At 39.6% G+C, this 13,411-nt stretch overlaps 1 long non-coding RNA gene across 1 annotated transcript; it reads left to right on the forward strand.

Annotated features, from left to right (window-relative positions):
• Positions 1-4,751: 4,751 nt before the first annotated feature.
• LINC01985 (long intergenic non-protein coding RNA 1985) lies at positions 4,752-13,077 on the forward strand. Its single transcript, NR_147054.1, has 3 exons — positions 4,752-4,841; positions 10,591-10,710; positions 12,716-13,077. It is a non-coding gene; the product is annotated as a long intergenic non-protein coding RNA 1985 (long non-coding RNA).
• The last annotated feature ends 334 nt before the right edge of the window (positions 13,078-13,411 follow it).

Genomic DNA, 13,411 nt, shown 5'->3' on the forward strand with positions numbered 1-13,411 from the left:
AATTTGAAAATTTACAAACAATTTCAAAATAAAATAATTGCCCTTCTGATTAATTGATGTCTTAAGCGTGTACTTGATTTTTCTTATTGGAAAATTCAGAACTGCTGTGTGATATGAAGGCCAACTTCCTCGTCATGGAATTAAGGATTCATGATGACCTGCTTTATGCCTACCTTTCCAGACTAGGTTCCCAACATTCCACCCTCCATGTTTGCACTTTAAACCCTATAGTCATGCAGAGTTTGTAATGGGTATTAAATCTAAGTCTTTTTTGTTTGTTTTCTTTTTTTGTTTTTTGTTTCTTTTTGGCACAGGGTTTTGCTTTGTCACCCAGGCTGGAGTACAGTAGCACGATCACAGCTCATTGTAGCCTGGAGCTCCAGGGCTCAAGCAATCTTCCCACCTCAGCCTCGCAAGAAGTACTTGGGACTACAGGTGTGTGCCACCACACCAAGCTAATCATTTTATTTTATTTTTTTGTCGAGATGGGGTCTCTCTATGTTGCCATGGCTGGTCTGGAACTCCTGGGCTCAAGCAATCCTTTCACCTCAGCCTTCCAAAGTGCTGGGATTACAGGTGTGAGCCATTGATGAACGGAGCCTCAAAGTCTTTTTGAATGGTGTCCCATGGAGTTGTGCAACGTGGTGACTCTGTTTCAGCCATTTTTCTGTACTGTTCTCTATTGTATCCACCCCAACGCTATACTCCACACATACCCATACACACATATACATACAATCCAAGTTCAAGTCCCCGATTTTGTTCATGCTTTCACATTATGTGGAATGCTCCACCTCCTCCCACACGTGCACCCAGGCCATCTTCACAAGGCTAATACCTGTTATTCTTTGAGCCTCAACTCAGACATCTCCCCACCAAGCAACCTTTCCTGAGCACTTCACCTTTTACTTGGCACCTCTGCAGGCCTCTAACAGTGTATTCCATACTGGTCTGTGATCATATTTTGATATTGCTCTTTTCTATTAGACTATAAGGGTCTTAAGGGCAAAGATAATTTCTTTCTCGCCTTCTTTGTCTTTGGCTTGATGAACTCAACTATTTTAAGTTCTTTGCAGTATAGCCTTCCTGAAAGTTGTAATGTAAGTGGCTAAAGTCATTCCTCAAAACTCTATGAAACTTTCAGACAGCTTTAAACACTCCTCCCTGTGTCATTTTCACCATAGGTGTGTAGCACTCCCAATCCCAGGTTCCCCTGGGCTTTCTGTAACAGAAAGCATCTTTTTGGATTTTGCCCTGCCCAGGTTGAGCTCCTGGCTTTAGACTTTCTCTTTCCTTATTAAAATTGCTTCTTTCTAGCAAGCTCTTCGACCCAACTATCTAGCGATTAATTTAATAAATTAGTCTAGTATTTCCAAGAGGGTGTGGTAAATTATTTAAGGTAGTATATGGACAAACTATTTTAATAGATATAACTAATTTTATTGTTTTTATGATTTATATAACTAACACATGAAATGAATAGTTTAATAGTTACTATTGCTTATGAGAAGGCTGAAATTCAAAAACTAAGTTAGTTTAAAAAAATGTTAAATAAGGATACAGGTAACACACAAATGTAACACCCAAAACAAGAAGAGAAATCCTCAGATATGATGATGGTCAGTTCTATGTGCCAATTTGTCAATGCTGTTGCACCAGTGATTCAATCAAACACTAATCTAGGTGTTGCTGTGAATGTGTTTTGTAAATATGAATAGCATATATAATTAGTTACTTTTAAGTAAAGGAGACTATCATCTCTAATGTGCTTGACCCTGACTCTGTCCACTGAAAGTCCTTGAAAGCACAGGTGAGCTTTTCTTGACAAGGAAGAAATTCTTCCTGTGGACTGTAGCATCAACTTCTGCCTAACTTCAAGCCTGCCCTTCCCAATGGTCTACCCTGCGGATTTCAGACTTGTCACCAGCCTCCACAATCATAAAAGACAATTCCTTGCACAGATAGATAAGATAGATAGATAGACAGATAGGTAGATAGATATCCTACCAATTCTTTTTATCTGGTATAACCCTGAATGATATATCCAATGACTGAAGTTTTGCTTAAGGTTTTCCTGGCCTACAGTAACTGCATATTAACTCTAACTTTCTGGAAATAATGCTTAGAATCAGAACTTGACTTTATTGTCAACTATTATTGTTGTAAATAAAAGTGAGATATTAGTATTCAAAACTTGACAAGATACCATTGCTCCCTTTTCCTGCTTTTACCCACTTTATTTGTATTGGCTTGTGGATAAGAGGTCCCTGCCAAAATGTGTCAACTGGCATAGGAAGAGTAATTTATTTCAGCTAGCATATGTAACCTGACTCAGTAAAACGGTGCTGGTACTTGATAACCACATGTGCTGTCAAAATAGAGGTGCAGCTTAGAATCCTAGGATCCTGGAGAATTCAAGCTCCACCAAGCTCTCATCAGAATAACTTGAAATGTTATTTAAAATGGTGTTTCCTAGACCATCCGTCTCAGTTCTGCTACAGAAGACCCAGATTTTTACAGGCTTCCCACATGATACTTACAATGCTTTAGGAGTTCCCTAGTGGACCTGCAAAATGGTTCTGTCTTTACATTTTTAAAATTTTAGGATTCTGTAACATAGTGTATTTGAGAAATCTCTGTTATAGCTACAAGGACCCCAATATTTAGAATCCACTTAACTAGTCTGTGTTAGGTTGATTTAGTGACCCCAATTTTTTACTCCTCCCTATATCACACCCTTGCCATAGTAACTTCATAAATGAAGTATATTTTCACACTGCTTGGTACTAAATACTCATGAATGAGGCATATTTCCACACTCCTTGGCTTAGGGATTGGTCATGTGACTTGCCTTAGCCAATGGCAGGTTGTCCAAAATTGACCAGTGGACCCTCAATGTAAAACAAAGCCACCCCAGCCACCATGGCCTGAAACTGAGCCTCCCCAAACAACACACAGCTCTATGAGGACAAATAATTATTATTTTAAGTTCCTGAGTTTCAGAGGTGGTTTATTACATAGTGTTATTGCAGTGATCACTAAATGATACATAAACTAATTCCCTAACAGTATGGAGGAGGCAACTGAGGAACTAAGAAGCAAAGTGACTCCTACAGAGCCTTAATCCAAAGGAAAAACTCAAAATGGTAGGACTTTCATAGCAGGCCAGAAGAACACATTGATAAAGAGGTTTTCTTCTCCTTTTTTTGAGACGGAGTCTCACTCTGTCACCCAGGATGGAGTGTAGTGGTGCGATCTTGGCCTACTGCAACCTCTGCCTCCCAGGTTCAAGCGATTCTCCTGCCTCAGCCTCCTGAGTAGCTGGGATTACAGTCACGTGCCACCATAACTGGCTAATTTTTTTTGCATTTTTAGTACAGGCAGGGTTTCACTATGTTGGACAGGCTGGTCTCAAACTCCTGACCTCTGGTGATCCACCTGCCTGGGCCTTCCGAAGCGCTGGGATTACACGCATGGGCCACCACACCCAGCTGATAAAGAGGTTTTCAACATCCTTCCTTCCAACCACATGAAGTAGGCTAGCATCTTCAGATTGATACACCTTTGGAGTAGCAGCATCTTTCCCATCCACAAAACATCACCATGCTGCTCAGCCATGGAAACAGCTGAAGTTCAGTGGGACCACCTTATGGTCTGTAAGATGGGAGGTTGGTGTCCTTCCACCTCCTCCAATGACCTCAGTTCAGTTACTTTCAAACAACCATATACTAGCTGTTGAGTTAAAAACAAATACCACTAAGCCTTATTGCCTTGAGCATGGCATCTTTTATGCCAACCATTAAGATTTATATATCCAAATGCCTTTATTTAATACCTCAAGAAAACATCTTGCCTATTGGACAATTACCTACAGTAGTTAATTTTGATGGAAGGAAATTAGAGTAGAACTGTTTATTATAATCATGTCCAATTAGGACTCAGATTTGGAATTGCTCACTAAGACTCAAGAGTGTTTGAGCTGATTCATTGATTACAATGCTATGAAGAAATTACAAAAGGAATCTAAATGCCCTTGAGAACCTAAGGGACATTTGTTAATGCCAGTACATGTCACAGAGCCTGGAGCTTTATATTTCCACAGGGTTTCTTGGAAACCCTATTTTGCCAAATACCTTGAATTCACGCCCAAGCATTCTTCCTGTTCACAGCCACATGGTGGACCCAGTGCTGAAGGGAGATTAACACTGCAGTTTTCTTGCACAAGGCTCAGACTACACAATACTAAAAAATAAAAAGATAAACATGATTCTAGGCACATTCCGTGCCTCATCTCCATGGCCCAGTTCCTGTTATCCATAAGTAGTTTTAAAATAGTCCACGTTGTTCAGTCCTGCAAAATCAACAGCACTGGAAAGTTGGCAGGTATACTTGTTTAAACAAAGCTCCCAAGTTTTCTGCTGGCAGGTGTTTCCAGAGTTCTTGGAGCACAATTCTTTGGATAGGATATTTGCCAATATACATAGCAACAGGAAAGAAAAAGTGTTTTCCTTTACCACATTGGAGACACTGAAATGCCTTAGATGCAAAGCTGGATATTCAGTTCAGAGGGTTTTTTTGGCTGCAGGTCAAGAATAAATAATAATGAGATCCAGCATCTCTCTGCTCAGAACTCTGATGGGCTTCAGAGTGGAATGAGATCACTTATCAAATTGGCAACAGGTCCTCTCTGGCCATCTCCGTATAGTTTGACCCAATGAGTTTGGTTCTCCCTTCTTTGTCAATTCCCCTGTCTCCTGAATGTCTCATTCTCAAACTAATTTTGCTTGAAATTGTGGCTGGAGATGGTATGTTTGAAACTTAATATGATGAACATAGAACAGGTAAGACATTATTCTTCCCCCATTCATTCCTAGTCATTGATTTTAGTTACATTTTTAAGTCCAGCTTTCCAAAACTGAAACATGGGACTGCTTTAAAAGCACATGACTAATTTCATAATCTGTTCCTTTGCAGTTGGATTGGTTCATAGTTGCTTCCCTCAGATTCATTCTCTGAGCCATTCAATTAAGATCAGCCTTGGTGCTGGAACCCCACAAGAGAGAAGTAATACCTTGTCTCTTACCCTGAACTGCAAAAAACTAAATAGAAGATTAAAAAAATAATAATAAGCAAAGCAAGACTAAAGTCTGAGGAGGGGAAACACAAGCAAAGTAGGGAAAGGTCTGGGGGAGAAGTTTTTAAAACTTAAAGGAAGTCAAAATGTTTCTGGCTTAGAAGGTACTTAATGGTCATTAAATTGTAACTCAGTGAAAATTAAGAGTTTTAAGTTCCGCCTACAAAAATGTAGAATACCAGGCAATACTAAAAGTTACTGTAAGTCTTTTTTTTTAGTTACGTGCTAATGGAAAATGTGTATTGAATTTAAGTTCTTTCGTTTTTGTATTAACTGGCCTCATCTTGGGGTTCAATTAATGCCTCTGTCTGTATGATAACTTTCCTTCATTTCCCTCATAGTGTCTTGTCTTTAGTATTTTGAGAACTTTCTTATAAGTTTCCAAGCAAAGATACTCTTATAGATGTTCTGGGTTCCGAATGGGCCATTTCAGTAGAGTCTAGATGTAGCTGAGGGCCTTCTCTCAGAAAATTCATCTGTTTTGGGAAAAAAAAAAAAAAAAAAAAAAAGCCTGGGTGCAGTGGCTCACTCCTGTAATCCCAACACTTTGGGAGGCCGAGGCGGGCAGATCACTTGAGGTCAGGAGTTCAAGACCAGCCTGGCCAACATGGTGAAACCCCATCTCTACTAAAAATACAAAAAGTAGCCGGGCATGGTGGCACACAACTGTAGTCCTAGCTACTTGAAAGGCTGAGGCGGGAGAATCATTTGAACCTGGAAGGTAGAGGTTGCAATGAGCCGAGATCACTCCACTGCAATCCAGCCCGGGCAATAGAGCAAGACTGTCAGAAAAACAAAAACAAAACAAAAAAACAACTAGCCATTCAATTGACAGAGAGAAAACTAATTTTTTTCTTCAGTTTAACTGTAGAACCGTGGCTACAAAAAGAAATCACATTGGTCAGATTCTGAGTTTTTTACTTCAGGAAGACATCTGAGGAAATAACAGTGATTAATAATATAAAACTTGATCAGATAGACCTGAGTTTACATTCCTGCTTTTTACCTACTTGCAGGGTGTTTTAAAAAATAAGGCTGTCAGTTCAATAATGGTGTTGCCTCTCCTAGCTGTGATAATTCGATTCATTTATTAAAATCTCTGGGCTTTGGTTCCTCAGTGATAAAACAGTCAAGATGAGTAGATGTGATTGGAAGAATTAAATGAAGTAGTATAGTCAAGAGCAGACCCCATAAAGGCGATTTGATTAGAATGGCCACAAATATTTGACTGCAACTTTAAGATCACCATACTTTTTAACTTTTATGTGTTTTCTTTCATGAGTACTAAATATCTATTGTAGGGAAATTAGAAAATACAGAGAAGTAAAAATAATGAGAATTACTTAATCACTTATAGAATCACTTGCCAGAAATAATTATTGAGAATTCGATTAAATCCTATCAGACTTAATCATAAAAAATCAAAATGACATCAGATTGTCCCTGAAATGTTTAATTTTCACCTTTTAGAGTATCTGCCTGATCTCTTTTATGAAAGTGAGTGAAGAAAGTCATAAGAAATTGATTTCTAGGAGGTAAACCAGGAGAAAGAATCCTGAGAAGATTTGGGAGGAAATGAACTTACTGTTTGTTTGTTTTCACAAAGGAAGAAATGTTGCGAATTCCAGGCAGAATATTGTTTTCTGCCAGATCCTTTCCGGAAAAGGCAATAGTGCTAAGGCAGGGTTTCTCTCAGAAAAATAGCAAGCCCTGAAGGATTTCTATTGGGTAGGTTTCACTAAAAATGAGGAATCAATATTGTTTTTATTGTCAGCTCCCAGTGACTGAATTGGAAAGGACTGAGAAAGCAATAACTTCATTTTTCAAAAGTTGCCTCCCTTTTCCCTTCTTTCCCTTCATTAGGATAATTTGTAAAAGCTTTTTGGCTCTTTCTGTGGTCTCTATTACCAAAAGATCTGAACAATTATTTTTGAAAATTTACCCCTAAAATCTATTTGATAGTAATGTTTTAATGTAATATCTAACATATTGCTTCATCATATTTGGAATATCCATAGCATAGCTAAAATTTTTTGAGTGTTCTGTTTATGCGTAAGTTCTCCAAACTCCATTTTAAAGATAACAAAACTGAAGAGCTTAGAGGTATTAAGTAAATTGCCCAAGATCACATAGGGAGTGTCAAACTGGAGCTTAAGCACATGCAGATCCACCACAGTCCAAAAAGCATCCCCTATTGACCATGGCACATTTCACCTTACTGTGTATGTACACACTCAAGCCTATACACACTCCATACCACTCATCCAAACACAGTCAGAGAAATTGCTAATAAAGGAAAATGTGCATAATTATGGAAATGTCTAAATGTAAGAATATGCTTTGCATGGGATTTATTTGGAATAGAACACCATGGCCCTAGACTTGTAATTCCATCAGGAACATCACTGGTATCTGCATGGCACAGTTAGCAATTTTAATACATTGATAAAATCCATTGATGGTCCAGGGCTTTCACATGTAAATGAATATTATAATTGCATAACCCAGAAAAAGAAAAAAAATGAGTTCTAAACAAGCTCTGAGATGATTCTTATAGAACTTATAGTATTGATGTATTGAAGGAGATCATCACAACAAAACCCTCCAGCAATCTGAGCAAGAGCACAGTACCTAGCTGTAGCAGTGGGTAGAATGAGTTTCAAGTTAAAAGAAGATACCGAATTGTTTGCAGATCTTTCCTCTTTTCTGTACTTCATAGACTCTTCTATCCCTGAAAAATAACATAATGAATATCAAAAGGGAATTTCTAGAACCATGCAAAGTTTATTTCCTCTTGCCCTATGTCCTGTGTCAGCTGAACTTCTAATAGCTTGGAGTGTGAGAAGAAGCTTTATTAATAAAGGGAGATGAAGGCAGGGAGGGAGAACTCATGTTTATTAAGCACCCACCAAAGGTCAGGCACTCACATATGTGCTATGTGCTTATGCTTTATATATTTAATCCCTTCCAACAGTACTGTAGATAGTATTATTCTCATCATCCAGTTAGAGAAGCTGAGGCTCAATAAGCTAAATAATTTTACTAATTTGACTAATCCATTGAGTATCAGAGTTAGGATACCAGCCCAAATCCAAAGCCTTTCTACTGCACTGAGAAAATAAGAAATAGGTTCTGAACTTCTCTTCCCCAATTTCACAGCCATAGTGAGATTTATTTTTAACTCTGTTCAATTTGCTAATATTTGAGGTGTCACATTCTTTGGGTAAGGATGATTATTTATAATTTTGAATTCCAGTTAAACCCCCAAAACTTATTCCAGACTATACATCGGAGTAAAAAGAGGTTTATGCAGTAACAGTTAAACTATGTTTCTCTCTGCTTTTATAAGACATAGAGCCCTCTTTACATTCCTTCCATGGAGTTTGGCACGTGTCTAAGTTGTGGTAAGCATGCTGCGAATTATCTTCTTACGACACTGGATGTCTGTCATTTTCCTCCTCTTTCACTCTGCCTCACTGCGATGGTGTTTTTGGCTCTTCGTAATACCGAGAGAGGCTGCTAACATATCTTCAGTGCCCAGGCCTTCGTTGCTATTGCTCCTGAAACTGCCAACATCATCTCCCAAGACTCTAGTGCTATCTTGTCTCTGCCCAAGTTGCCAATGCCAATGCTGCTGACTTATTGAGGTCCCAAAGCCCAGTGAAGCAATTAGTAGGAAAAAAAAGAAGGAAAACAAACTTTGTTTTCTTATTCATATTGTATGTCCATTGGGCCTGGGCCAGAGAACCATCAGAGTGACAGGCCCAAGGTCTATTCAGAGTCCCAGCTCTGTTCAACACCAGCCTACTGTTCTTGAACCAGGTTATAGCTGTTTGTCTTCACTTACCATGTGATCTTTCTCAAGAGGCTCCTCATTCTTTCTTGTAAAGACTGGCTACAGCTATATAAAAACCTAAGAATAATCTCAGATTTGGTTCCACCTGGACTCTTTACTATATACATATATATGTATGTGGAAATGAGGTCAAGGGAATGTACAGGTTTGTTCAGTGTTAACAAGCTCATTACTGGCAGATATACAATAAGTATTTGGGTATTCTAACTCCTAATTCAGAAAAGTATTATTTCCTTCATTCATATATTCATTCAACAAATATGTGTTGAAGGCTGGTTTTGTGCCAGCCACTGTAAGAAGTAATGTATACAACACATGCTAGCCCTTTAGAGCTCATAATCTACTGGTGTGATAAGTCCATTGTAGGGTTAAACTCAAGATACAATGGGAGTTAATAGGAGAGATGTCTAACCTAGGAAAGGCTTCCGAGATGACACAATCTTTAAGCTGAGCCTGCAGGACAAGAAGTTAATGAGGCTGAGGAAGAAAGCTGGTTTGTAGTCAGTGGAAAGTGGGGCTTGGGGAAGGTAGGCATTTCTGATTCAGTTAGTCAAGAAGGCAGCTGAGCTCCAAGCTTTCTTGCCAGTAAGTTTATATTTTCCCTGGTCAAGCACCTGAGTTCCTCTAAATTACTTCAGAAGTTAAATAACCATCCATTTTCTTTTTCTTGATAATAATATGGAAGTTTAAAAACAGCAAATTCATTGCATAGAAGTTTCTTTGTGAATTTATTAGAAAGAGGGAAAGAGGACAGGAGTTTAGTTCATGAGAAGGGTAGGGCCGGAAGCAAGATTGTGACTTTAAATAAGTTAGGCTAAACCAATGTAAAATAACCCTCAGGGGTGTATGGAGGTTTCATGGAGCCTGAAATTTATATAGTGTTGCAGGGCTCTCTTTGAAAAAAATAATGTAGCTGGACACAGTGGCTCATGCCCATAATCCCAGCACTTTCGGAGGCTGAGGCAGGCAGACCACTTGAGGTCAGGAGTTCAAGACAAGCCTGGCCAATGTGGCAAAACCATGTCTCTACTAAAAATACAAAAATTAGTTGGGTGTGGTGGCAGATGCCTGTAGTCCCGGCTACTCAAGAGGCTGAGGCAGGAGAATCGTTTGAACCCAGTAGGCAGAGGTTGCAGTGAGCCGAGATTGTGCCACTGCACTCCAGCCTGGGTGACAGAACGAGACCCTGAAAAAAAAAAAAAGAAAGAAAGGAAGAGAATACAGAAAGAAACCTTACTTTTGTAAATTTTTCAAATATATGACTATGAGAACACATTGTGATTTTGGAGAGATCTTATCAAAGTGAAGAGTCTTGACGCTTAAGCCTCATTAGCATCATGGCAAACAGCCCTCTAAGACACTGTTTCAGAGAGAGTGCCATCAACACTGATAAAATCCCTCAAACCAAAGGCTGAAAGTGCTTGCACTCATACATGAGTGCCCTGTGGTAATTTGGAGAAGAAAAAGGGAGAAGAGGAAAGCAGTTAAGATTTGTGTTTTTTTTTGCGGGGGGTGTGGGGTGTGTGTTTACTTATAACTGTAGTCTACTAAGGGAGATTTTTTTCATGGTTATTTATAATAGACTCTGTGTTCTAGGAAGATTTCAACACCTTTTTAGCAAAAGATGTTCACATAAACCTGAAATGAATATAGCCAAAGAGGACGTGGTCTTTCAGCACCTCCAGCTAAAAAATGCTGCAGAGGAACTTCCTGTATTAAGGTAAATGAACAAATAAATCTTCCTGCGGAGACACAAGTTTTCTGAACTGATGTTATTTGCAACACAGTTATTCAAGTATGGACTGGGAACAGGAATGGCAGGGAGGTGTGAGCAAAAGAGGGAAGATCATAAAAGTGTTGTACTATTGAACTGGCTCTCCTGAAATAAAGAAAAAGCCTTGATATGTAAGTTGATTTCTGTGGTGTCCATACTCTCACTATGGCTCACTTCAATCTCCTGATTTGATACCACTAACAAGGTGTTGTGAAGACACGGGCAAATTCAATTCTTGTAGGTCAGTGAGATCCATTCCAGAAGACAAATCCCTGGATGTAAATTTTCTGTGGTCCGATTGATGCTTCCTTGTGGAGGTACCAGAACAGACCTTTGGTTTAAAATGCATCTCAAATGTGAAATCAGGTTCTTTTCTTTGCTTGAAGCACTTGCAATAATATGCAGAGACTGGATTTCAGGTCCCACATGCTCTTGAGTTAATTTTGCTGGATTAAAGGGTGTGCAGGCCCTTGTGAGTTAGGGCTGGCTAGGGTTTTGTGAATTCCAGGTGAGATGCTGGCATCTTCCTCATCAAGTTCTGTATTAACAGCTGCCACCTTCAGAAGACTGGTAGAGGCTCAAGGTTAGGGAAAAGCACAGAAATTACAAAAACTGTGACACCTTTTATCAAGGGCTACTTAAAAATAGAGTCTATTTTTGAAAGAATGTGGGTAAAGAAATGTTTTCAACAAAAGTTTGGTGGGTATGTACCATCTATTTACATATTAACGCACATAGGCCAGGCGCGGTGGCTCACGCCTGTAATCCCAGAACTTTGGGAGGCCAAGGTGGGCGGATCACGAGGTCAGGAGATCGAGACCATCCTGGCTAACACGGTGAAACCCCGTCTCTACTAAAAATACAAAAAATTAGCCGGGCGAGGTGGCGGGCGCCTGTAGTCCCAGCTACGCGGGAGGCTGAGGCAGGAGAATGGCGTGAACCCCAGGGGGCGGAGCTTGCAGTGAGCCGAGATCGCGCCACTGCACCCCAGCCTGGGCGACAGCGAGACTCCGTCTCAAAAAAAAAAAAAAAAAGCACATGTAACTTGTAGCATAAATATTTTAAATAAATTGATATACACAATCCTTCCGTCTCCCCACCCCTCCCTCCTTCCCTCCTTTCCTTCCTCCTTCCTTCCTTCCTTCCTGTTGAATAGTTATAAGGTTCTAGGCATGTAACTTAATGTAAACTTATCTAGTAAAGCAATTAATAAGACAAAAGTTGTACATTGAAGGAGCTCATAGGAAGAAGGAGACAGTTGCGTAAACACCTACTTGAAGAATGTTTCAGAAGCTGAGATAAGAGGCTAAGCTGGGTGGCAAGCAAAGGCATGAAAGCAGGACTGTTAATTCTGGCTGGGTGAAGGGCCAAGGTAGAGATCAAGGCTGAATTTGTAAAGTCATAATGGAGGAATTTAAAAGGTGAGAAGCCTGATAATCAAGGGTGTGGGACATGTAGGCAGTATGAGAAGGGGTTGATGGAAGCTTACTGACTGGTCAAGGCAGTGCAAGAAGTTTAACCTGTCTGGAAATATGGGGACAAGAACTGGAAAGGGCAGTCTGTGCATGAAGATTCCAGGAGAAGCCTGATGATGGAAAACCTTAAAATCACATCGAGGTTTATTTTATAGTGCTACTATTGAGGAACCATTTCTGGGTTTTTAATTGGGGAATGATATGAACATTTCCAGGGTTGTTGCTCTCTGTTGTTTTTAAGGATCAGTACAAAGTAGCTGCATGAAGAATGGATGGGAGAATAAGAAGCTATGGCAATAACGACAGTTAGAATATATCAATGGGCATGGAGGAGGAGGCTGTTGACCTGGGGGGAGTACCAATAAAGTTGGACTATGCAGAGGAAAGAACTCGGGGATTTTATAAAGTTAGAATTGTCAGGACTTTGTCATAATTTCTTTCTTTTCTTTTCTTTTTTTTTTTTTTTGTATTTTTAGTACAGATGGGGTTTCACCATGTTCGCCAGGATGGTCTCGATCTCCTGACCTCGTGATCTGTCCACCTCTGCCTCCCAAAGTGCTGAGATTACAGGTGTGAGCCACCACTCCCAGCCTTTGTCATCATTTCAGATAGGGTGAAGGAATGGTTTAAGTCGCCTCCAAGGTATCTTGTTGGGGGTGAGGGGTACAGAGGGGTCTTACTGAATGGTGATGAAAAAGGGGACACAAGCGAAAAATCAACATTGGAGAAAAGATAACTAAACCCTGGGAAGCTTAAGGAACAAAGTGTAACAAAACAACATGGATTGTTTTATAAAATACTTTGAGATATCCAGGATTAAAAGTATGATAAAAAATAACATCGTGTATTTTTGCAGTAACTTTTAATTTACAAAAACACTTACATACATTATCTCACTAGACTCTTTGACCCTTATATGTACTATGTAAGAAAGGCAGGGCAGGCACCAGAAATCCAGGGTTACAAAATCTAGTGATTGGAACTCAGAGGGATTGCGAGGCATGCTCAAAATCCCACAACTGCGCAAAAATAGGACAAACAGAAATATGTTCACTCAGTGATTAGAACTCGGAGGGATTGTGAGGCATGCTCAAAATCCCACAACTGCGCAGAAATAGGACGAAGAGAAATATGTTTGCTCAGTCCTAGGTGCAATACTTATGACCAGAATG

This window comes from Homo sapiens, chromosome 3 (assembly GCF_000001405.40).
Source record: "Homo sapiens chromosome 3, GRCh38.p14 Primary Assembly".
NCBI lineage: Eukaryota > Metazoa > Chordata > Mammalia > Primates > Hominidae > Homo > Homo sapiens.